Genomic DNA, 24,339 nt, shown 5'->3' on the forward strand with positions numbered 1-24,339 from the left:
GCCAGGCATGGTGGCGCACACCTGTAGTCCCAGCTACTCAGGAGGCTGAGGCAGGAGAATCACTTGAACCCAGGAGGCGGAGGCTGCAGTGAGCCGAGATCACGCCACTGCACTCCAGCCTGGTGACAGAGTGAGATTCCATCTCAAAAAAAAAAAAAAAAAAAAAAAAAAAAAGAATATATCATCCCAATGTCCATCAACAAATTAACAGATAACAAAATGTGATACATCTACAACATAGAGATTATTCATCCATAAGAAGGAACGACATATTGATATACGCTACTACATAGAGGAACCTCAAAAACATTAAGCTTAGCCAAGTGTGGTGGCACCTGCCTGTAGTCCCAGCTACTCTGGAGGCTGAGGCAGGAGGATCACTTGAGACCAGGAGGTTGAGGCTGCAGTGAGCCATGAGCCAAGGTCCCACCACTGCACTGCAGCCTGGGCGATAGCCCAAGACCCTGACTCAAAACAAAAAATCATGTTGCTAAGTTAAAGAAGCCAGTCACAAAAGGCCACATATGATTCCATTTACATGAAATGTCCAGAGTAGGTAAATTCATAGAGACAGAAAGTAAACTGGTGGTTAGCAGACACCAGGAGACAGGGGGTGCTATGAATTGAATTGTCCCCCAAAGTTCATGTGTTGGAAACTTGATCCCCAATGCAGCCTCATGGGAGGTATTTGGGTGAAGGGAGCACCACCCTCATGAATGGATTAATGACATTATCACAGAGTGGGTTCCTTATAAAAGGACGAGTTCGGCCAGGCGCAATGGCTCACGCCTGTAATCCCAGCACTTTGGGAGGCCAAGGCAGGTGGATCACCTGAGGTCAGGAGTTCAAGACCAGCCTGGCCAACATGGTGAAACCCCATCTCTACTAATAATACAAAAATTAGCCAAGCATGGTGGCACACGCCTGTAATCCCAGCTACTCAGGAGGCTGAAGCAGGAGAATTCCTTGAACCAAGGAGGCAGAGGTTGCAGTGAGCCGAGATCGCGCCACGGCACTCCAGCCTGGGCGACAGAGCAAGACTCCATCTCAAAAAAAAAAAAAAACAAGACAAGTTCAGCCCTGTCTTGTTCTCTCTTACCCTTCCCCTTTCACCATGGGACGTGTGACAAGAAGATGCCAACCCTGAATCTCGGACTTCCCTACCTCCAGAACGGTAAGAAATAAGTTTCTGTTCATTATAAATTACCCAGTCTCGGGTAATATGTTATAGCAGCACAGAATGAACTAAGACATAGGATACAAAAACTGACTGCTTAATGGGTACAAAGTTTTATTTTGGGGTAATGAAAAGGTTTTGAAACTAGATAGAGGTAGTGGTTACACAACATTGTGATATACTAAAGGCCAATGAATCATACACTTCAAAATGGTTAATCTCACGTTATGTAAATTTCATCCCCGTTTTTTTTTTTTTAAAGGATAAAAACTAAAAAAAACCTCATCTGTGTTACTGGAGGTTAGGAGAGCGGTAACTGCTTGGGAGGAGCACTTGGGAGAGCTTCCGGGGACCGTCTTATTCTATTTCTTGAACTGTACACTGGGATTGGGGCGAGTTTATTATCCAGGCATTTATCTGTGGCCTTTCATACTTTGGTAACAAGCTAAGAAAAGAAACCTAAAAGCTGAACGCAGTGGCTCACAACTGTAATCCCAGCACTTTGGGAGGCCAAGACAGGAGACTCACTTGAGGCTAGGAGTTCAAGACCCACCTGGGCAATATAGCAAGACCATATATCTATGAAAAAAAAAAAAAGACAAAAAACAGGTAGAAGGAAAAATATCCTCACAATTGTATTCCTATTTTGCGGATGGGGAAACTGAGTCACAGAGAGGTCCTATTAGTTTGCCCAACCTTCCCAGCTGTTACCTGGGAGAGCCAGAATTGGAAAGCACAGCCCACATCTTGACTACTATACCGTCTGCCTCTAAACCGGCAGATGGAGCCCAGCATGGGGCGTGGCAGAGGGCAGGTGCTCTGCTAATGGTGGTGTGCTGCAGCTGTGTCAGAAGTGGGACCAGCACATGGCATGAGTGACTCTGATTAGATGTGCTATTACTACACCCTTGGCCTTAAGCACAGCTTGCTGGGTGAGAGGCAGCACGTGGGCCAGGCCTTGAGAGCACTAGTTCAGGAGTCAGAGGGCCTGAGTCCAACCTCAGCTCTACCCACTCCTTGCTGAAACCTCAAGCAAGTCACTCTTCCTACTGAACCTTAGCTTTCCAGTCTGTAAGGTGGCATGTGCTCCACAGGGCATCTATAAAAATTCAACAAAATCAGGCTTGCCTAGAGCAGAGACAGGTGTCTGGCACACAGTAAGTGCTCAGTAAACCAGCACTGCCATTATTTTAACCACCAAGGGGGTCGGTGGGGTGGTACAGGTCCCAAAACAGCAGTAGTCAGCAGGGCCCACCTCACCTTGCCCACCTCTGCCAGCTGCTACTCAGAAAGATGGGCACTGGGAAGGCCCAAGAGTGCAGGTGTGCACAAGCGTGTGTGTAGGGTGCAAACCTGAGACAGGTGTGTCAGAGCTAGGCCATCCCAGATGACAGAGGCAGGCCTGTGGCTGGGTCATCTGGCCCCTTGTAACATGAATGCGGACACTGAAGGCCCAAGAGGGGCCAAGACTCATTTAATGCCATCAGTAATCCTAGACCAGAGAGAAACTCTTGCCCCTCCAACAGTTCCACACCCATCCCAAGGCTCTCACAGTCCAGCCTAATGAGCCATGGCCTCCGCACGTGCAGGCCACGGGACAGGAGCCCATGACCCTGTGTTCCCCAGCACACCACCCACACACCACGCCAACCATTCATTCAACAACCATTTACTGAGTGCCTACTGTATGCCCACCACTTTTAGACGTGCTGGGGATACCACTGTGAAGAAGCCTCATGAAAATGCCTACCCTTGTAGAGCTGACAACATCAGAGATCTGGCTTGTTAACCCACTTTATAGATGTGAAACCAAGGCTCAGTGAGGTGACATGGCTTGCTCACAGTTGCACTAAGAGGAAGCAGCAGAACCAGGGTTAGAACCTTGATAGCTGCCAAGACTCAGGAAGCTCCATCAACAAACCCAGACTCCAGGCTCAGGCTGGGGGACTGGGCCAAGGGACCTTAAAAGCCATCTCTGTCCAGAAAGAGCAGCAGGACACGAATCTCCTCTGCTCAGTCAGGTGGGGAGGCTGCTCCCAGGGAGGGGCGTCCATCCCTCATCGCTGCTCCCTGTCTGCGTCTGCAGGCTGGTACAGTGCAGGATGCGTGGCTCTTCCCGATGCCTGCAGCGCCAGCTTCCTGCCCCCTCTTTGAACAAGCCCACTTACCCCCTCAGGACTCATTGGCTGTCGCCTCTGGCATAACTGTGAGGCTCAATCCCCGATTTCCTTCAGGCCTTTATTCAGATGCCCCCTTCTCAGCGAAGCCCCCTCTGGCCGCCCTGCCTGCCTCATGCCCTCCCATCCTCACGTTGCTTGTTTTTTCTCCATGGCTCGCGCCACCGTGAGACATGCATGTCTGCCTGGGAGCTGTCTGCCTCCCTGTCAGCGCCCAAGATACTAACACGAGGATGGGATGTTTGCCTGTCGGGCTCACTGCTGGACCCCAGGACCTAGAACAGCGCCTGGCCCACAGGCGCTGCTCAGCACGTGTTTGCTGAATGAATGCAAGTGCACACAGGGCAGCCAACCGCCACACCTGGGGACCTTCTTTCCAGGGGGAGGCCCACAGAAGCTGGCCTGGGACAAAGCCATCTCTCAGCAGGTGGCGCTTCTCCCCATCTGCCTCCCAGTCTTGCGTGGCAGCCACTTTGGGACAAACAGCCCTGGGGTCAAAAAGGGTCTCTTCCCTGTCCTAACTTCACTAAAAGGGGACCTCAGCTTCCCACTAGTACAAATGGATCAGGCCACGCATCGGCTCACGACATCACAGGGCTGCTCTCGTCTGGAGTGCCAAAGCCAAGGTCCTTTTCCATGACCTGCAGGCGCGACACAGCTGGACTCCGCGTTGCTCCTCTGCTTGCCTCCCCCAGCTCGCCCTAGCTCACACTGCTCCAGCCACGCTGTTACCAGAAAACACCAGGCACATCCCCACCTGGGAGCCTCTGTCCTTGCTGTCCCTCTCCCTGGGACACCCTTGCCCAGCCAGCGTCTCACCTCCTCCAGGCTCCAGGCCTCTGACCACTGCCGTCTCCTCCGGGCAGCCTCTTGATGCCCCCCCGCCCCCAGCCCATTGTCCCTCACTCACAGTTCCCACTTTTCACCCCAGCACTTGCCACCCCGACATTCCATGTCTACTTATTTACTGCCTGCCCCACCCCCACTGGAATGTAAGCTCCATCAGGGGACCACTGTGTCTCGGAGCCCGGGGCTATCCGGCACAGCACACAGTCAATGAATACTTGCTAACTGAATGAATGCTGAATACTGCCTCACTGTGTTAGTTCAGTGACGTGACTTCCCCTCTCTGGGCCTCAGTTTCTTCATCTATAAAATGGGGCTATGAATGAGATCACTCATGCACAGTCAGATCCCTGCTCTCCTGCCCAGATGACCACTGAAGGAGTCCACGAAATGGGGGCATAAGCAGCTGTGGGCCTGGGGCTGCGGAATGCTGGCTCCTCAGGCTGGTAAGACCCTCCGCCTCTGCCTCTCAGGGCACAGCTTTCCAGGAGGAGCCAGCGTGGGAGAAAGAATCTGGCGGGCAAAAGCGGCCTCTTACCACGCTTGTGGAGCCAGCCTTCTTTGATGACAGACACCTCATTCATGGTGGCAGCGTGGTACGCTGTCACCTAGCTCGGGACAGCTCAGGGCAGCAGGACATGCAGGAGGCACCGTGGACAGGGCACAGTCTGCAAGACAAGAGAGGAGCTGGTCAGGGCGGGAGGGGATTCCACACCAGCCCCTTCCCTGAGGACGCCGGGCTCTGAGGCCCTCTGGCTGTTCTGCCCACTCAGCAAAGGGTAAGGCCAGCAAGGGTGGCGTGGAGCCCGCTCTCAAGGACCCATTCTGAGCAGAGAGATGTGGCAATGTCCCCAGCGACCCCAATCTGGGGGAAGCAGAGCTCCCCGGCCTAAGCGCAGGCCAGACCCCAAACTCAGGACACCCATGCTGGGGGGAGGTGGCCCCTCCACCCACAGTCACTCCTGACTGAGCAAGCATCAAGGTAGCCGTGCCCTGCCCTCCCCGTGTCATTCCCATGGCCCAACACTGAGGTAACCCAGTATGAATGAGGCAGCCCAGGGTACCTGAGGGAATGCGCAGAGCCACCAGCATCTGCCTGTCCCTCCACCATCTTACACACACACACTCTTTTCTCTCTCTCCCCTCTCCCTTCTTTCCAAACCAGGAAGCCACCAACCTGCCACCTTCAACAAACTAAGCACACTCCCGTCCCCCCATGCCATCCCATGCCATTCCCTGAGCCTCAGCGGCCTCCCTCCCCCCATCAGATGACAGAGAAAAGACAGGTCTCAGACAATCCGGGATCTTGAACAAGAAAGCAACCTACTGCGTATGCACGGTCTGGGGCCTAGAAGCCAGTCCTGGGGGCTTGACCGAGGCCCTGATCCCTACCCCAAGACCTTCACTTCTGTCCTCAGGGACCAGCAACCAACAGACTGAGGGACGCCGAGGCCACTGCTTCGTCTCAGGTTCCCAGAACGGAGGGGAGGAGGGCGCGAGGCAGCGCCAGCTGGGCCCCTACCTGGAGCCTGGGGCCTGGCCAGGGTCCACAGAGACCAAGGCGCCTTTGCCTTTCCCAGCCTGGGGTTATTTGCGGACAGCAGGTCGGGAGCTACGGTGGCGCCCAGAGAAGTGGCAGCTGGCTCTAGGGACACCATGGGCATCAGCTTTCTCTCGTGCCCCAGGGGAGCTGGTGGGCCGGACACGCTACTGCCTGGCATGTGACAGTGGCAGGCTGCCCAGGTCCCGGCAGAAAGAAGGGAGGTAAGTGGTAGGAAGCGGGAGGAAAGACAAGATGGACATGACAGGGAAGTAAACAAGAGGGTGAGAAATCACATTCTGGGCTCCAAGCTGCAAAGGCAATGATGCGAGGCTGGGAGCAGCAATAAGGGGCTCCCCTTGCCAGCAACATGCCCGGCACCCCACAACCCAAGCACACAGGACTGCCAGACTCTCAATCCTCAGCATCCCCACATCTCGGCCGGGCACAATGGCTCATGTCTGTAATCCCAACACTTTGGGAGGTCAAAGCAGGAGAATCCCTTGAGCCTAGGAGTTTGAGACCTGCCTGGGCAACGTAGTGAGAACTTGTCTCACGACCTAATTTTTTTCTACAAAAAAATTAAAAATTAAAAAATTAGCCAGGCATGGTGCTGTGCACCTGTAATGTCAGCTATTCGAGACAGGAGGATCACTCGAGCCTGGGAGGTCCAGGCTGCAGTGAGCCTTGATTGCACCACTGCACTCCAGCTTAGGTGACAGAATGAGACCCTGTCTCAAAAAATATATAAATATGTATGTATTTCTGTATCTCCCACTGTTCTGTGTGTCAACCTCTAACGTGACCATCTCTCCCCATCCTGCCCGCGGCCTGGCTCTAGTCAGGTCTGCCCCCATCTGCCCCCACCTCTTCCCCGAGTTCCTACGCTCCACTCTTGCTCCCTCCCACTCACCCCACATTCAGCAGCTAGAGGGATCCCCAACGCTGAACCTGTCTTTCTCCTGCTCAGAACCTTTGTGGCTCCCTGGTGTTCCCAGCAAAAAAGCCAAACTCCTCAGCTGAGGATCCAAGGCCCTTCAGGACCTCGCCTCTGCTGCCCTGCGTTCCAGGTGCATGAGCTGAGACGTGCACCTAGAAAGCCCTCGGGAAAGGCTAAGGACCATGACGTTGACTATTGCACCTCTCCAGCCTCTCCGCCCTACCTGACTCTCCATGTTATGCTTCTGTCACTCAAGCCCTTCCCTCTGGCCTCCATCAGGGACAGCACCTCCTTCTGGGCGTTCTTCTCTCTCTTCCTTGAGGTCTCAGCTAAACCAGTGCCTCCTCCAGGAAGCCTTCCCCACCTCAGAGGCTGCACTGTGTGCTCTTTGTGCACCCTCGGAGCAACCCTCCCAACACCTATTAACGCTAATGCAGTAGACCAGCAAAGCGTCTTATCTAATGAGCACATGAAGAAAGAGGCCAAGTGTCCCCAACTGACCCCCACCCCAGGACCACACACAGCCAGGGACACACTACCAGACTCTCTTCATGACACCAATCTTTTTTGGGGTGCATCCTAGACCCCGGATGGTACCAGCAACAGAATGTCACTAAGACACAGCCCTGCCTTCATGAGGCTCACAGTCTGGTGTGAGGGGCAGAAAAATACACGAATATGCAAATAATCAGGTGGTGGGGAGGCTGGAGAGTGGAAGAACAGGATGTTAGCTTGGTGTGCGGGACTTGCGAGCAGACACCCGAGTTAACTGAGGGAGTGAGCTGTGTAACACATGAGGAAATGTATTTCAGCAGGGGAACAGAAAATGCAAGGACCTGAGGCAGGAGGGGGCCTGGTGAGGAGAAACACGAGAGAGGTGGACAGGGGAGAACACCAAGGGCCTTCTGGGCTATGGCTGGGACTGAGAGAAGCCCGTCCCCTACACGGACCTACACCACACCTTCCCTGATGCAAGCTCAGTTCAAAATACTTCCCAAATGGCTGGGAGGGAGAACTCAGAGTCCAAAGGAGGGGCTGATGTGGAGGGAATAGAACAGGGGCTCCATGTCTCATCTCCCCTCTCGCTGGCCCACAGCGGCCCAGGGACATCGCCTCTCAGGGCCCTTGTAATGCAGCAGCACTAAAGTACCCACTGTGGGCCCAGGGCTCGGCCTACTGCCTGGCGCCCAGTGAACAGCCAAACACATGGCTGCCATTATTCCAGAGAGAAGCAAAGGCAGCCAGGTATGGCCAAGAGTGGTCTGGGTTCCAGAGTCCAAGAGCCACCGCCAGCTGGGTGGCCTTGGGCAGGGTGCCGGCGCTCCCATGGAGTCTCTCCTGAATGCTCCCAACACCCCACCAGACAGTCAGTGACCATGCCCAGATGAGGACAGAAGCTGAGAGAAGGGAAGCTGTTTACCTCGGGTCTCCCAGCCGAGAAGCAGCGGAGGCCCTGGCCGCTGCTGGGATCAACAGAGCTGCTTTTTACAAGCTCATCTCAGCAACTAAGGAGTCAGCACAGCTGGAGGGAGAGCAGGGGGAGGAGTTGGAAGATCCCCTGCGTCCCGCCTGGATCCTGCCCTGTCCTCCCACTGAGGGTGGTGCCTCAGCTGAGGTGTCCGTGACGCAGTCCTGTGGTGATGAAATACCAGCCACTGCAGCCAAGAAGATGGCTGGCTTAGGCCGGGCACGGTGGCTCACGCCTGTAATCCCAGCACTTTGGGAGGCTGAGGTGGGCGGATCACCTGAGGTCGGGAGTTCGAGACCAGCCTGACCAATATGGAGAAATCTTGTCTCCACTGAAAACAGAAAATTAGCTGGGCGTGGTGGCACATGCTACTTGGGAGGCTGAGGCAGGAGAATCGCTTGAACCCGGGAGGTGGAGGTTGTGGAGAGCCAAGATCGCGCCATTGCACTCCAGCCTGGGCAACAAGAGCGAAACTACATCTCAAAAAAAAAAGATGGCCTGATCACTCGGGGGGCTGCCAATGGAGGACACTCAGGCAGGGGGACAGAGACTCGCCTATGGAACCCCCATAGCACGCCCTGCGGAGGGGAGTCCCTGCACGGCCCCACCACACTCATTACTTCCTAAGGTTCCTGGGCATGAGTCTTCTGAGTGCCTGGGCCAGAGCTGCAGCTGTTGACTCAAGACAAGGTAAAAAGAGCAAGAGCACCTCACAGGAGAGGACACCCACACAACCAAGAAACATACATAATCTCATTAGTTACAGGCAAATGCAAATCATAACCACCTACCTGGGATGGCTCGAATTTTAAAAACTGACAAGGCCAACTGCTGGCTCGGATGTAGAGGAACCAGAACCCTTACTCATTATTGGTGGGAGGTGCAAAATGGTTCAACTACTGTGGAAAACTGTTAAGCAGTCAAAATCAAAGCTCAATATATGCCTATCCCACGACCTAGCAATTCGTCTCAAGGAAATTAGTGTATGTACAAAAGACTTGTACTACAATGTTGACAGCAGCAATATTCACAGTAACCCCAAACTGGTAACAGACCAGGAGTCTACCCACAAGAGAATGAATAAACAAACACGTAGATCCACAGTAGAACACTACTCAGCAACGAAAAGGACTAAACTGCTGCTGAATACAGCAGGGAAGGAGTGAGAGAATGTTATAGAGTGAAAGAAGTCAGCACTCTGCCCACGCCCCTCCTGCAGCCTGGAGCCCCGTGACCACCTGAGTCAGCTCCCACCCCTTCTCCGCTCGAACCCTCCCATGCAACATAAAAGCCAAAATCCCCAAAGCAGCCCCAGGACCCTACGCGGCCTGCAACATCCCCCTTTGCTTCTCTGAGGGCACTTCACTTCAGCAGTGCCTGGCTCCCTCAGCTGCCAGGATACATGGGGACGCCCCACCTCAGGGCCTTGCAGGCACTGCACCCTCAGGTGGAAACTCAGGCCCCTCTCCACTCTCTTCAGCCTCTGCTCACGTCCCTTTCTTGAGAAGCCTTCCTAACCTCCCTAGGCAAAGCATGCCCACCCTACCTCCCCTTACCCTTACCCTTCATTTTCCCCTAAGCACCCATCACCACCGATGTTACTGTATGTGTTTGCTTACGCTGACAGCCCACCACCCACACTGGAATGTCAGCACGACAAAGGCAGGACTCTTGGCTGCCTTAGCCACAGCTGGATCCCCAGAGCTTTGTAGGGTGTTGGGCACAGAGTGGAGTGGGTACTTAATAAGTATCTGTGGAATGAACATGTACAGAGTGAAGCCCTGTGCCCAGAACAGGCTCAAAATAAGCTCAATTCCTTTCCTTGCCACTTACTAAGTCCTTTTTCTCTCGCCCCCTCTCACTGACCTGATTTTGATGCCAGACAGCACAGATGGGCTAGGGAGGCAGGTGGGGAAGCAGAGATCTGCGTCTCTTGGAGCTGGAGCTGGTGGGTGGGGCTCCTTCCTGGTGCTGCGGAGGCTCATTGGGGAGGTGGCAGCGACCCCCTCAGGAGCCTCTGTCGCCTGCACTCAGATCTGTGCCTTTCCACAGCGCCCGGAGGAAGACTTGCTCAGGAGATAAATTCAAAGACAACAGGAAGCTGGACGTGGTGGCTCACGCGTGTAATCCCAGCACTTTGGAAGGCTGAGGCAAGAGGATCTCTTAAGACCAGGAGTTCAAGACCAGCCTTGGTAACATAGCAAGACCTTATCTCTACAAAAAATATAAAAATTAGCCAGGTGTGGTGGTGCACACCTGTAGTCCCAGCTACTTGGGAGGCTGAGCCAGGAGGATTGCTTGAGCCCAGGAGGTTGAGGCTGCAGTGAGCTATGACTACACCACCACACTCCAGCCTGGGAGACAGAGCAAAACTGTGTCTCAAAAAACAGACAAACAAACAAACAAACAAACAAACAAAAAAAGCTGGCCGGGCACGGTGGCTCACACCTGTAATCTCAGCACTTTGGGAAGCCAAGGCAAGAGGATCCTCTGAACCCAGGAGTTTGAGACCAGCCTGAGCAACATGGTGAAACCCTGTGTCTGCCAAAAAAAAAAAAAACATACGTACATACATACATACATATATATATATATACACACATATATATGTATATATACACGTATATATACATATATATATATATAGTAGTCAGGTGTGGTGGTGTGCACCTGTAGTTTCAGGTACCTGGGAGGCTGAGGTGGGAGGTTGACCTGAGCCTGGGAGGTAGAGGTTGCAGTGAGCTGAGATTGTGCCACTGCACTCCAGCCTGGGTGACAAAGCCAGACCCTGTCTCAAAAAAAAAAAAAAAAAAACCAAAAAACCCAAAGACAACAGGAACTAGTGGTGTAACAGGCAGCATCTGCTCATGGGAACTCAGGAGAAAGGCACCTGGGGCAAGACGTGAGGGAACCAACTCCCTCATCTGCCACCAGCCATTCACCACTCTATAAACTGGTCCCAGCGTCTTGTGAGAACATTCTGGTAAAACTCATAAAGTGGAAAATGTACATGTGCTTGGAGGAATTTCTCCTGCAGAAAATGCTAGTGCCAGGGCACAGAAGTTCTAAGCTGGGAATTCTCAGCCTCAACACTAGTGACATTTGGGGATAGAGAATCCCTGATGTGGGGACTCTTCTGCACCCTGAAGAGGTCTGGCAGCATCCTGGGTCTCTACTCACTAAAGCCAACAGAACACCTTCCCCTGGTTACGACAATCAAACATGTCTTCAGTCATCACCAAATGTCTCCTGGGGTACAAAACCACCACCAGCTGACAACCGCTGTCCTAAGTATGTACTGCTGAAATAGGGAAACCTGGCAACAATCTAAAAGCTCACAACAGGGGTCTGGTGCTATATATTGGTTAATATCATGACTCTACTAAAAAGAGCAAGGCTCACATAGCCCATACCACGTGCCAGGCCCATTTGAGTGCTTCGCACATACCAATATAACCCTCACAGCAACACTTTGAGGCAGACACTCCTACTGTTTCTATGACAATGAGGAAACTGAGGCACAGAAGTGAAATGACTTGCCCTATGACTTCATCTCAGGAAGTACAGGCGGCCTGGCTCCCCCACAACACCATGCCACACAGCCTTGAGAGTTAGGCAGATCTGGACTGGGGTCCTTGTTTGCCCACTTTCTAGACTCCCAAGCCTCCGTTTCCTCCTGTCCTTGCAAGGACAGACAGCAGCGCTTTCATCACAGGCTAATGCAGGGAAGGGCTCAGCACAGCACCCAGCACGTGGAGACGGTCTGGCCACACAACACAACAAGCCATCCTGAGCACAGAAACACAGAAACCAGCCCTGCTGTGCTGACACTGGGACCATCAGCATTCGCTAACGAAGGCTCGCGGCACGACAGAATGCAGGCGGGATGCCTTTTCTGAAACGCACACACACACGCCCTGTCACCTCAATTCTACAATATGCGTATTGTTTCACATGCTGATGTCATTGAGATTGGCATGTACCTTGCAATCCATGGACAAAACTCACCTATCGCATTCTTTTCAGAAAAGCAGTTATATGATCAATGATGGACCTTATAGGGCATACTGTCTTAGACTTCAGGGCACGGGGAGGTATGTGTTTAAATGTCACACGCACAGAAAAAAGAAATCCGAAGGAAATACGCCACACTAAGAGGCAGGAGAGTGGGTGCGGGAGGCAAGGCAGCCTCAGGAACCAAATGCCAGCTTTTCAGCCCTGGCTGTGTCACCTGCTGTGAGACCTTGGGCAAGTCACCAAGTCATGTTCCCTTTCTTCACCTCTGTTTCCTCATCTGTATATTAGAGATAATAACTGCATATACCTATCTCTAAGGCTATTGGAGGGTTCAGTGAGTTAATCCACATGAAGTCCTCCCAAAAGAGCCTGTAAGAGCAACTGCTCAACACGTATCAAATATTATCATCACTGGCCAGGCGCGGTGGCTCATGACTGTAATCCCAGCACTTTGGGAGGCCGAGGCGGGCAAATCACAAGGTCAGGAGGTCGAGACCAGCCTGGCCAATATGGTGAAACTCTGTCTCTACTAAAAATTCAAAAATTAGCCGGGCTGGTGGCAGGCACCTGTAATTCCAGCTACTCAGGAGGCTGAGGCAGGAGAATTGCTTGGACCCGGGAGGCAGAGGTTGGAGTAAGCAGAGATTGCACCACTGCACTCCAGCCTGAGGGACAGAGCAAGACTCCATCTCAAAAAAAAAAAAAAAATTATTATTTCCTCTGATGGGTGGAGACATGGGAAACTTCACTTTCTATACTGTATGTTTCTGAACAGGTGAATTTTTACCTATTCTACCTCCTTGGTGAGAAGGTGGCACTGAAGAAACTTTTTTTTTTTTTTCCTGAAAAGGTCTGGGTACTTCAAAAAAAAAAAAGAGAGAGACTTTTTGTTTCTTTTTTCTTTTAAACACACTCCCTACACTCGCCCCATCTGTCTGCTTGGAGCAGGTGGGGCTGGAGGCAGGTTGAAGCCGTGGGCAGGCTGCAAAAGAAACGGGGACAAGAATAAGCACAGAGCAGATTCCTTCTCCTCCCTGCCACCCCACACACACACCTTCCCCCTCACGCCACCCAGGGCCTTACAGCACCCACAGAAATCATGTCAAATATTCTAGTCTGCTTGGCCACGGGCTCCATACACTCTGAGGGCTCCATGCTGCAACCAGCGGGATCCTCCACGCAGTTCTGACCCTGTCCCTCCCCTGCTCAGGACCTCTCCCTAGTGCCCATGGATCACGTCCAAGGCCCCTATGGAGGCTGCCAGGGGCCATCTGCCTTGGCCCCGCCTGCTCTCCAGCCTCACTGGTCTGCTCGCTCCAACACACAATCTCCCCTTCTCCTGGCCCCATGAAGACTCCCTGCTCTCACACCCCAAGACCTTTGCACATGCTGTACCCCTTGCCTGGCACTCTGTTCACCCATCTTCTTCACGGAGGCCTTCCCTGACCACCCCTCTCCCACGAGCAGCGGACTCTCAGAGCTCAGCCTTCCCTTCCCCTCACAGCACTTGCCTCTGTCACCTGCATGACTATGTGGGTAATGTCGCCTCTCCCACTGGACTGTGGGTTCCACAAGGCAGGGATACAGTCTGTCCTAGCCCCCACTGTGTCCCCAGCTCCACTCAGCACAGGGATGGGCCCATAACTTTCATTACTTCAGGGGGGAGTGGTGAACAGAACCACAGCATTTGTGCCAAGTGAAGGTAAAACAAAAAATCCTGCATTCATTCATTCCACAAATATCACAACAACTCTGCATCATCACTGCTCGGGTCACCAGGGATTCAGCAGTGACCAAAACAGAACTCCCTGCCATTGGGGAGTTGGGGGAATGAGGGAACAGGCAGCAAAATAAAAAATAAATACATACGCAAATTAGACAGGATAGCCAAAGCTAACAAATGCCATGGAGAAAAGGAGCACACGGAAGATTCAGTGCAGGGAAAGGGAGCAGGGGTTTCCGACTATACACAGGATGGTGACAGAAGGGCGCACTGAGGCAGCGCAGTCTGAGCAAAACCGGAAGCAGGTGAGAGAGCCGGGGGAGACCTGGGGAGGAACGCTGCAGGCAGGGGAGGAGCAGGGCTGAGGCGCGTTCGAGGCGCCTACAGGAGTGGGTGAAGGGGAGGGCCGGGAGATGTAGCTAGAGGAAGCTGGGGACCGCTGGGCAGGGCCTTGGGGGCCACTGTCAGCATTGTGGCTCTTATTTGGAGTGAGAGGGGAACTATCCGCCTGAGGCGAGCTGGGGAGTGGGGGAGGGGCAGCAGGTGGAACCCCTTGCACCCAGGGCAGGGCAGGAGTCCTTAGGGAGGCAGCCCTTCCTCTCCAGGAGCTGTCCCCAGAATAAGCCCTGGGCACTGGCCTGATGGGCTCACCACCTGCCTCACTTGAGAACCATGAGGACCTGCATGCAGCAGATGTGAAAACCGAGGATGGGAGAGATTCGGTGAATACCCACAGCGAGAGACAGCAGGGACACAGCCAAGGAGCCCGGACCCCTCTCCTCCGAGCCCTGAGCTGCCTCCACCTCCTTCTGCCTTTGCTCCCAAGAGACAGGGCCACCTCCCATCTTGTGTCGCCTCCTCCCACACCCCGGCCAGCCCTTCCTTACCGCCCCTGATGTGCACGCATGCACGGGAGCCCTCCAGTTGGACTGCATGGGGAATCCCTGACCCACGTCGCTCTGCATCGCCACCACCTCCCTGGGAGCTCCAGGGCAGGGCCCAGTGGCAAAAGGAGAAACCAGTGGGTCTGCATCAAGGCTAATACTCAGTGAGCACTCACAAAGCACCAGGCATGGATTAATGTTCATCTTCACAGCCAGCCTGTGTTACTATCCCCGTTCCTCACATGGGAAAACTGAGGCCCAGGGAGAGAGCCACATGCACACAGTCACAGCGAGTAGGTGCAGGAGAGGGACCGCAACCAGAGCAGAACTAGCCCACAGACCTTTCCATAACGACAGAAATGTGGTTACTAAATGTTTGAATGATGGCTAGTGCAACTAAAGAACTGACTTTTTACTTTTCTTTAATTGTAATTAATTAAAACTTAAAAAGCCATATGTGAGTCCGGGCACGATGACTCACGCCTGTAATCCCAGCACTTTGGGAGGCTGGGGGGGGGGGGGGTGGGCGGGGGGCGATCACAAGGTCAGGAGTTCAAGACCAGCCTGGCCAAGATGGTGAAACCCTGTCTCTACTAAAAATACAAAAATTAGCCAGGCGTGGTGGTAGGCGCCTGTAATCCCAGCTACTCGGGAGGCTGAGGCAGAGAATCGCTTGAACCCGGGAGGCGGCGGTTGTAGTGAGACAAGATCACACCACTGCACTCCAGCCTGGGTGACAGAGCAAGACTCCGTCTCAAAAAAAAAAAAAAAAGTCCATACATGGCTAGTAGCTACCATTCTGGAGTGCAATTCTATAGAATTCCTGCTAATTAAGCACCGGGAGCTTAAAGGCAGGAGGCAGGGATGTGACTCTCACAGGCCCAAGAGGAGCCAGATCATCCCAGTGCGGCTGGAAGCTCCCATGCTATACCCCATCTCTCCCGCACCCCAACGCAGCTTACCTGGGGAATTGGAGCAGGACTCAGGCCCAAACTCACACCTCTAGTCAACTCAAATCCTGACTCTACCACTTCCAGGCTACACAGGTCACTTCTCTGAACCTCAGCTTCCGCATCTGTAAAATGGAATCTTTTTTTTTTTTTTTTTTTTTTTTTTTTTTTTTTTTTTTGAGACAGAGTCTCACTCTGTCGCCAGGCTGGAGTGCAGTAGTGCGATCTTGGCTCACTGCAACCTCTGCTTCCCAGGTTCAAGCAATTCTCCTGTCTCAACCTCCCGAATAGCTAGGATTATAGGCACCCACCACCACACCTGGCTAATTTTTGTATTTTTAGTACAGACAGGGTTTCACCATCTTGGCCAGGCTGGTACTGAACTCCTGACCTCGTGATCCACCCTCCTCGGCCTCCCAAAGTGCTGGGATTACAGGTGTGAACCACCGTGCCCAGCCTGTAGAATGGAATCTTAACACCAATCTGCCCAAGCACATGTTTATGTTATCTCAAAAGATAATTTTTGCAGGCCAGGTGCAGTGATTCACGCCTGTAATCCCAGCACTTTGGGAGGCTGAGGGATGTGGATCACTGGAGCCCAAAAGTTCAAGATCAGCCTGAGCAAAATAGGGAGACTCCCATCTCTACTGAAAATTGTTTTAAAAAAATTAGCCAGGTATGATGGTGCATGCCTGTAGTCCCAGCTACTCAGAAGGCTGAGGTGGGAGGACCACTTGAGCCAGTGAGGTCAAGGCTGCAATCAGCCATGATGGTGCCACTGCATTCCAGCCTGGGTGACAGAGCCAGACCCTGTCTCAAAAAAATAATGAAAAATTTAAAAAGATGATTTTTCTGATAACCATGGGTTGTCCTGGGGACCCAATGAGATGGCTTCACACACAGCTGGGGACAGGGCCAGTGCTTGAAAAATAGGTGGCAATTACATAAAGGACTCTGACATCAGGGGCCGTCCTGAGCCTGTCAGAGCCATGCAGTGGCAGCTAATGTTACTGCTGTCACTACTTGGTTCTAAAGGAATCATCCCAATAATTTCCAACATGCCCCTACTAACTTTTTGAAAATATCATCTAAATGAAAACACACAGCTAAAAAGAGTCAATGCCCTGCAGACACCTCCTCCCACCCGCCAAGGCCTTCGGACACCAGTTTGAGAAGCTGGGCTCTAGGGCGCCCTGTCTCCAAAGCAGAATATGGTCTGCTTTCTCCATCCCTGGCTGCCACCTGAATCCAGCCAGCTCTCTCCCACACAGGTCCCTCCCCACCCACCTGTGTCCCTTCTCTTTGGGGATAAAGCCCTGGATCCCCATCATAGCCCAGGCCCTGAGCCCTGCCACCCTGCTCTCTCCCCCTCACCCACTCCCCCGGCTCCAGCTACATGGGCCTGCTGTTCCACCAGCACATCCAGATATCGCCTTCCTTGCGGCCTTTACCTGGCTGCACCCCGTCCAGCCCACTTCCTCGGGCTCTCACATCACAGGGGCTCCTCAGCAGCCTTCCCAAGCCCCTCTCCCACCCAGTCCAGCTAGATCTCTGTTCCCTCCTTCAGCCACACCAAGCACTCACAGGCCAATGCAACCTCTCTGCCACCTCCGATCGCATCCAGAACTACACGTGGCACATAGAAGTGATTCAATCAATATTTGGAGACAGATGGAACACACAAATGACCAAGAACAGCCAAAGGCTGGCTCCTGAGGCTGTTCAGCAATCAGGCCCCTAGGGCAGTGGGGAGGGGGTGCCTCCCATCCTCATCTCTTCCCCCTGGGCCCCCCTTGGGAGGGGCCAAGGTCATGGTATTGGGGGTGGAGAGAAGCAGCCACACCCCACATCCCAAGCAGGCATGGAATGGAGTCATTTCTGGATTACTGAGGCCTACTTTGTGCCAGCTCTGTCTAGGAGAAGAGAAAGCAGAAAAGAAATCATGATGACAACAGTGACAACTCCAGTCATAGCAGGCAGGGCAAGAAGATGAGGCTGTCTTCAAAAGGCAGCTTCGCCGACAGAGCAGGGTTCAACCATCATGCCTATTACTGACTTCCAGCAAATCCAATAACCTCTCTATGCCCGTTTCCTCCCCTGTACAACGGGGACGATCGGGACAGCGAGCTGCCAGGCTGTGGTGAGGATGAGTGAGAGCAGACACCTTAAGCTCTGCAGCAGTGCCCAGCACTGAGAGGCGAACTACTCACGAGAATGACCCCAATATTCTATGTGGCTTCCTGGGCCTCAGTTTCCTATCTACGAGATGGGAGTGCTAACACTGCCCACCTCCCAGGCTGCTGTGCAGGTTTGTAGAGCTAATATGCAGCGTCTGGTTGGGCAGGAGTACAGTGGTGGGAGTGATTCACATTCCTGTCTGGAGCCCTCCCATCAGCTAACAGGCCCTACCACTCTCTCCCAAGGACCAACAACGAGCCTGTGCCCACTGCCCTGCAGAGCCCCTTCTGTGCTCTCAGGTGCCCTCAGTCCTGTCTGGCAATCACCAGGAGTAGCATCAGCCCAAATTCATCCCGCCGCCTCCTCAGGAGGCCTGTGCTTTCCAACGCAGCAGCTCCGTGCATCCTCCCCACCGCCCCACTCAGCAGGAAGGTTCCCGTTTACAGCTGAGCAAAATGCACCTTAGGGAGAAGAAATAAGGCCCCAGAGCTCCACAGCCACCGAGAGGGGTGCCAAGAGCAGGGTTCTCACCCACGTCAGCTACCCCCGGGACCAGGTCACTCAGCAGCCCCAGCTGGGTAAGTGTACACCAAAAACCCACCAGACCATGAAGAACTTGAAGCCAGGCTGGAGAAGAGAACCGGGGAGCGGCAACTGCCCCAGCCCATTCGGAAAGGGCCCACAAAGTGGCAAACCGAGGAAGACTTGGGTTTCTGGCCTCACCCTTAGAAACAACATCTGCGAACGAGCTTCTCCAGCAGGACGGCTGGGCTGAAGAAACTCCTGCTGGGACCTCTGACATGCAGTCTCCTCTTGGCCGACCCGGCTTGCTGTCCCTCGCTCGGCACAGTCAGAGCACCTGGGCCCTGCTGTGGGTGCCGAGTTGGCAGTGGGTCCTGCCCCAAGGGGGCCAGGCTGAGCTCCCACCCAGCGCCCCTCCCACACTCACTCCCTCCCTCCTGGTCCTGCTCCCAGGCTGTCTCCCCCAGCTGGGCCTCTCGCTGCTTGGCTGGCTGTCCAGAAGAGCCTGCCATGGAACCACCCCACCGTGCGGCCCGGAGGCCTGTGGTTGAGGGCCTTCCGCTGAGAGCTCTGGGAAGCTGAAGAGAGGCCCGGGGAGGGGTGACCCTGGGTCCTCCAGGGGCTTGGAGCTCAAGTCTGAAAGACACTCCTTTCCATCCCAACCCATCCCGGGGGCCTTCTGGAGACCCTAGTGGTTTGTTCTGAGGGGTTCTGCTCCTTCTAGGAAGATACCCTGGAACACACCTCAAAAAAAAAAAAAAAAGCCAGAGCGCCTGCTCCCGCACCAAGCCTTAGGGGTGAGCCCATGGGTGGGATCAGAAGTCACACTCACCAGGGGCTACTGAGCTGTGGTGGGGGAATCTCTGGAAGCCCAGATTCATAGCCTGTCCCCAACACTTCCTGGTTGGGGGACTCAGCACAAGCTACAGAGGCTCTCCAGGCTTCAGTTCTCACCACTTGTAAAGCGGGAATCAGAGAAGATTCCTCCTGGGTCTAATGGGTCTTCACCCAGATCCTCCCATGGCTCCCTCACAGCACTCCAGTCCCTACCCACACGTCACCTCCTCAGGGAGGTCCTCCCTGATCACCCAGCTATAGTGGAGAAACATGCCCACACTCTCAACCTGGCCCTCATTTATTTTGCCTTCGTAATATCAACCACACCTGAGCCCAACCAGAGACCTGGGTGCTGGGCGCCAGTCACAAGCCCTGGTCTTTCCAATTCCAGAGGAGCACTGGGAATGGCGCAGGCCTACAGGCCCACGGCAGCGTGGACGCAGGGTCAGCGGGTGCTGTCTGTATCAGGTGTGACTGCTGCCCTGCGTTGCTATTCAGTATTAGTCCGGCTGGTTGGGTTGGGGAGGAATGGGCAGAGAAATCAGCCCAATGAGCCTCCCCTCCTCTTTCCCTAAAAGTAACAGCCACGGGCTCTGGAGAACACGGTGTGAAAACCACAGGAGGGAGGCAACCCTCAGGCCTTTGCTGGCTGTAAGGCAGTGATGCTACTGGAGGGGAAGTGGGAGGCCTGTGAAACGCCCTGCTCCGCTCAGTCAAATCTACCCACGCCCCCAGGCAGGAGCCTGTGACCGGCTCCTGGGTCACCTGCTAACACCCTGAATCTGACCAGGCTGTTCCTGCTGAAATTCCAAACTCCTTCACAGACAGTCCACAAGGCTCCCAGTGAAAGGGCCCTGCCTGCCCCGCAGCCCCAGGACTCATCTCCTCCCTGCTCCCTCGCTCTGCCAAGCCACACAGGCCTCCGTGAGGCTTGTCCCTGCACCTCACCAAGCTCTGTCCTCCCTTCAGACCTTTGCACTGTGGTTCCCTCCACCTGGAGGGCTGTTCCTTCTCCTCCCATCCCACATGACTGCCTCACCTTGCCAAACTGGGATCAGCTCAGAGGCCCTCCCCACAGCCGCATGCATCTAAAGAAGTGCCCAGTCTGTCACCTGATTTGAATTCGCTGCCTAGCTCCTCCCCCTCTAACCGGCTCCTTGCTTATTAACCTGTTTCGGGTTGGTCTTGCTTAGCCCCACAAGGATAGGGACTTTGGCAAGTACACTGCTGTATTCCCAGTACTGATGCAACGCTGGCACATACGAGGTGTTCAGTAAATGGTGGCGGATGAGTGAAACCTTTTCCTCGGCTCCACAATACCCTTAGGATCCATCCTCACCTCTCACCCAGGCCCACAGGCCAGTGCAGCACAGCCCCTGCCAACCCCTGCAGGCACTTCTGCTGCTCCCCCTGCCCAGGCCCAGCCTTCCTGCCACTCCCAGAGCTGTGAGCTGTGGTGGGCTGGGAACCAGGGGCAGTGGCATGCACCTACGGTCCCAGCTACTCAGGAGACTGAGGCAGGAGGATCACTTGAGCCCAGGAGTTCAAGACTAGCCTGAGCAACATAGCGAGACTCCCGTTTCCACAAAAAATTTAAAAATTAGCTAGGCATGGTGGCATGCACCTGTAGTCCCAGCTACTCAAGAGGATGAGGTGGAAGGATCACTAAAGCCTAGGAGGTCAAGCCTGCAGTGAGCTGTGATCACACCACTGCACTCCAGCCTGGGTGACAGAGGGAGGCCCTGTCTCAAAAGAAAAAAAAAAACAAGCACAGAGCCTGACCTCTGAAAAGACTCCAGTGTGTCTACCTTGGAGGCGCTCAGGGCTGCAAAGCCACTGCGTGGAAGAGGAGTGGGCCCGGGAGCTGCCCTTGTCAGTTCTGACTTGATTGCATGTCTCCCCCGACCTCTGTTTCTGCATCTGTAAAACTGAGATGCTAATTTCAGCCCTGATCTCCTCCTAGTGCTCTCTGACACGGTTCTGTGAACTGGCAAAGGCCTTCAAAGTCCCGGCAGAAATACTAAGAATTACAATTGCTAAGACAGACCAACAGCTCACCATGTGTCGGGCACTGTTCTTAGTGAGGAGACATTTCCGGTAGGCTTATTGTATGCCAGAACAGTTATGAATGCTTCCCACAAATTAATCCACTCAGCCTTCACAATAATCCTATCAGGTGGGAATTATCATCATCCCCATGGCACCGATGATGAAATGAGCTCACAAGGGTTGGGGAGCCTGCTCAAGGTCACACAGCCATGGAGTGGCACGGCTGGATTTGAACCCTGTGCTCTCACTCGCTTCCATACACCTCTTTACAGAGGCTGGAAACCAGAACATTGAAGTTCTGGATCCTAGCTGGGCCAGGCTGGGGAGCTGGATCCCGGAATGCTCGAGGGGACCAAAAGTAGGGGGTGGGGGAGGCTGGATGCCTCCGTTCCATAACATAATCATGACTGCCAACCAAGACTTACACAGTACCAGGCACCATTCTAGGAGCTTCTCGTGGATTAATTCATTTAATCCTCACAACAGCCCAAGGTGGACGTCCTTCTGAGACCACTGTATGGGAGTGAACAGTGTGGTCCAAGGTCGCAGAGCTAGAACCGACTTCACCGTCCTGCTGCTAGCTAACGCAGGTCCCTGGTAGCTGTGTCACCCCCTGCATGGCTCTCTTGCTGTCTTCTTCTCCCAGCACACACCTGCCCAGGGTTAAAGGATGCCTTGCCTCCACTCTGAGGAGGGACCAAGAAATGCTGGACTGGCTGTAGGCAGAGATGCTCAGGGCAGCCTGAGGCTCAGGGGTAAGAGGAAGGAAAGACATAGGACAGTCACCTCTATAGGTAGAGGACAGAGGACAGAGGTGACTCTATCCTATGTCTTTCCTTCCTTTCACCCAGCCTGGAACCTGGTGAGCAAGGAATGCATGGCACTAGGGGCTCAGTGACCTGGGTTCAAATCCTACCCTGGCACCCATAGGGTCTGATAAGATGCGGTGGAAGGCAATTCTTCCTCTGAACTTCAATTTCGGACTCTGCAAAAAAGGACACAAATACCATATAAAGCCCAAAGCACAGGGCTGGGCAGAGTATATGCTCACAGACAAAAGCCACTCCTCCAGTTTCTCCTTGACAAGACGATCTGAGGCCAAGGTTGGCCAAGGGCTCACATCACACCTCTCCCACTTCAGCTATGAGACCTCTGGGAAATCTTTGCACTTCACAGTGAGTGAAATGATTCCTCATCTGTAAAATGGTATCACACTTCTAACTAGCTCGTAGCTCTCCATAAAATAGGCCTAACCACAGGTATGTTTTGAGACTTAAGTGAGATCACATGTACAAAAGCCCTGTCACACGCCTGGCATGGGGTGAATGCTATAAACACTGGGCATCCACTAGCTCTGGAAATGATCTGCCTCTCTGAGATGCTGTTTTCTCATCTAAAAGGGAGAGCATAACAACAGCGCCTACCGCTCTAGAATTCAAGTATTCAGCAAGTTTATCTATATGAAGCATTCCAAACAGTGTGTGGCCCACAGAATGCACTCAGTTACTGTCAGCCATCAATTTCATGATTACTGTTTTCACTGCCACTGTTAGCCCCATCAGGCAAACCCTCTAAAAGCTGGCAGGAGAGGACCAGAGGAACAAACCCCTAGTGGAGAAAGATTCTACAGAGTCGCCGCTGCCTCACAGACTGTGGGACCTTTCTCTCCAGGAACCACGAGCCACGGAAGCCAGTCAGCTTGGAAGTCACTGCTGCGGACTAGGGGCAACCATCTGCCCCCTCTGACCACATCACCAGCCCAGGTCTGCTGGGTCAATCAGGGACTGCAGCCAGTCCTCTGGGAACTCCAGACCCAGAGCAAAGGCTACAGGGCAAGCCAAGGTCATGATCTGGCCTAGGGAGCAGGGACACTGGCCACAGACCTCTGGGGCTGGCTGCTCCCAGCACCAGCCCACAGACCACAATAAGACACCAGATCCATGGGGGATCTGACTGTCCCAAGCCCTTCAGAGCAGCCTTCCTCCCTGGGCCAGGCTGGGCCAGGGGCACCCCCACTCCAAGTCCCCTTGGCCTATGCAAAGAGGAACAGCTGGGAAAACAGCTCCCGGCCTCACTGCAAGGCCAACTGTTACTGCCTTGGTGGGGAGTGTAAACATGATGTGTGACCGAGCTGGTAACTGGGAGACACAAACAGCTTCGTGGCCAGCGACAGAGGAGCATGTAGTGGTCTGCGTTGGTTCCTGGACCCTTCACATCCACTGCCAACCAAGTTCAGCCCACGAGTGAACTCCTGCTGCTTCTCTGGGAAGGTAGGAGTGGATGAAGTTGAAAAGCAGCCCATTGGAGGCTCTAGTTACTCCAGCCCAGGCGTCTTGCTGAGCCCCAAGAGGTCTCCAAATGAGAGGAAGAGGTCCTCACAATCCCAAGATCAAGATGCCCCCAGAGAGCTTCCCTGGGGGGAAGAGGTGTTCCCCCAAACACTCCTTCCTCCCAAGTTTTAACAAGCGGGTGCAGGGGCACGGCTCCTCAAATCCAAGCCCAATCCCTCTTCCTCTTCAGAATGTTAAGGCTCAGACAACTTCAGTGACTTCTAACACAGCTTTCCTCCCTCCCCTATGGAAGGAAAGAACTGTTACTGCCTGGTAAATAATCTGAGAGGGTAATGGAATCCAGAGCAGCACCTCCATGGTCCAAAGCACCCCAGTAACCATGACGTTCCCTCCAGAGTCGTTAAGAAGTTCAATAAAGGCTGAGATCAGTGTAAACCCCCAACGCCACACACGTCAAATACAGGAAACAGAAACCCCTCCTCACCAATCGGCATCACAGTCCTCCCAAAATACGCCCCTAAAACCCACTAGGGCCTGTCCCGCCCCGTCCCAGTCCCTTAAAGATCACAAACATCACAGTCCTCTGATTTGGGTTCCCCTACGTTCTAAGCAGGGCTCCCCCAACGCCGTGGTGATATAACCCAGCCACAGTTGGGGAAGCATCCTCCCCAGAAGCCCCCACCCCTGTAAATACAGCACAGCAACGGCTTCCACAGCGCCAAAAAGGTACAGCCCTCTAC

The 24,339-nt window shown here is 53.7% G+C and overlaps 1 protein-coding gene and 1 non-coding gene across 5 annotated transcripts in view, besides 12 other annotated features; both read right to left on the reverse strand.

The window, feature by feature from the left end:
- Nucleotides 1-24,339, reverse strand: part of AKT2 (AKT serine/threonine kinase 2) — a 55,029-nt gene that overhangs the window by 30,167 nt on the left and 523 nt on the right. For 2 of the 4 annotated variants that reach the window (NM_001626.6, NM_001330511.1), the window contains one exon: nucleotides 4,739-4,868. The exons of 1 other annotated variant lie outside the window; for it this stretch is intronic. In NM_001626.6, coding sequence (NP_001617.1) covers nucleotides 4,739-4,784 — 46 coding nt within the window. In that variant the 5' untranslated portion in view covers nucleotides 4,785-4,868. Of the gene's footprint in view, nucleotides 1-4,738; nucleotides 4,869-24,339 lie in introns of those variants that run through there. One more of the 4 variants, NM_001243027.3, reaches the window with a different exon arrangement.
- Nucleotides 3,673-4,258: an enhancer, noted in NCBI's record as "H3K27ac-H3K4me1 hESC enhancer chr19:40770063-40770648 (GRCh37/hg19 assembly coordinates)". NCBI's record gives its function as "activates a minimal SCP1, AML or CMV promoter by ChIP-STARR-seq in naive H9 embryonic stem cells {active_cell/tissue: H9 hESC(naive)}" and the evidence as "EXISTENCE:reporter gene assay evidence [ECO:0000049][PMID:30033119]".
- Nucleotides 4,398-5,376: an enhancer, noted in NCBI's record as "H3K27ac-H3K4me1 hESC enhancer chr19:40770788-40771766 (GRCh37/hg19 assembly coordinates)". NCBI's record gives its function as "activates a minimal SCP1, AML or CMV promoter by ChIP-STARR-seq in naive H9 embryonic stem cells {active_cell/tissue: H9 hESC(naive)}" and the evidence as "EXISTENCE:reporter gene assay evidence [ECO:0000049][PMID:30033119]".
- Nucleotides 6,959-7,253: a silencer, noted in NCBI's record as "tiled region #4564; HepG2 Repressive non-DNase unmatched - State 19:H4K20, and K562 Repressive DNase matched - State 5:Enh". NCBI's record gives its function as "represses a minimal TATA promoter and a strong SV40 promoter by Sharpr-MPRA in HepG2 and K562 cells {active_cell/tissue: HepG2 | K562}" and the evidence as "EXISTENCE:reporter gene assay evidence [ECO:0000049][PMID:27701403]".
- Nucleotides 6,959-7,923: a biological region, named in NCBI's record as "Sharpr-MPRA regulatory region 4564".
- Nucleotides 7,074-7,923: an enhancer, noted in NCBI's record as "OCT4-H3K27ac-H3K4me1 hESC enhancer chr19:40773464-40774313 (GRCh37/hg19 assembly coordinates)". NCBI's record gives its function as "activates a minimal SCP1, AML or CMV promoter by ChIP-STARR-seq in naive H9 embryonic stem cells {active_cell/tissue: H9 hESC(naive)}" and the evidence as "EXISTENCE:reporter gene assay evidence [ECO:0000049][PMID:30033119]".
- Nucleotides 7,924-8,772: an enhancer, noted in NCBI's record as "H3K27ac-H3K4me1 hESC enhancer chr19:40774314-40775162 (GRCh37/hg19 assembly coordinates)". NCBI's record gives its function as "activates a minimal SCP1, AML or CMV promoter by ChIP-STARR-seq in primed H9 embryonic stem cells {active_cell/tissue: H9 hESC(primed)}" and the evidence as "EXISTENCE:reporter gene assay evidence [ECO:0000049][PMID:30033119]".
- Nucleotides 14,086-14,165: an enhancer, noted in NCBI's record as "active region_14642". NCBI's record gives its function as "activates an Ori minimal core promoter by ATAC-STARR-seq in GM12878 lymphoblastoid cells {active_cell/tissue: GM12878}" and the evidence as "EXISTENCE:reporter gene assay evidence [ECO:0000049][PMID:35858748]".
- Nucleotides 14,676-14,745: an enhancer, noted in NCBI's record as "active region_14643". NCBI's record gives its function as "activates an Ori minimal core promoter by ATAC-STARR-seq in GM12878 lymphoblastoid cells {active_cell/tissue: GM12878}" and the evidence as "EXISTENCE:reporter gene assay evidence [ECO:0000049][PMID:35858748]".
- Nucleotides 14,766-14,825: an enhancer, noted in NCBI's record as "active region_14644". NCBI's record gives its function as "activates an Ori minimal core promoter by ATAC-STARR-seq in GM12878 lymphoblastoid cells {active_cell/tissue: GM12878}" and the evidence as "EXISTENCE:reporter gene assay evidence [ECO:0000049][PMID:35858748]".
- Nucleotides 20,056-20,105: an enhancer, noted in NCBI's record as "active region_14645". NCBI's record gives its function as "activates an Ori minimal core promoter by ATAC-STARR-seq in GM12878 lymphoblastoid cells {active_cell/tissue: GM12878}" and the evidence as "EXISTENCE:reporter gene assay evidence [ECO:0000049][PMID:35858748]".
- Nucleotides 20,146-20,265: an enhancer, noted in NCBI's record as "active region_14646". NCBI's record gives its function as "activates an Ori minimal core promoter by ATAC-STARR-seq in GM12878 lymphoblastoid cells {active_cell/tissue: GM12878}" and the evidence as "EXISTENCE:reporter gene assay evidence [ECO:0000049][PMID:35858748]".
- Nucleotides 22,060-22,158, reverse strand: MIR641 (microRNA 641). The gene has a single exon (NR_030371.1). It is a non-coding gene; the product is annotated as a microRNA 641 (primary transcript).
- Nucleotides 23,887-24,026: an enhancer, noted in NCBI's record as "active region_14647". NCBI's record gives its function as "activates an Ori minimal core promoter by ATAC-STARR-seq in GM12878 lymphoblastoid cells {active_cell/tissue: GM12878}" and the evidence as "EXISTENCE:reporter gene assay evidence [ECO:0000049][PMID:35858748]".

The sequence above is a fragment of the Homo sapiens genome, chromosome 19 (assembly GCF_000001405.40).
Source record: "Homo sapiens chromosome 19, GRCh38.p14 Primary Assembly".
Taxonomy (NCBI): Eukaryota; Metazoa; Chordata; class Mammalia; order Primates; family Hominidae; genus Homo; species Homo sapiens.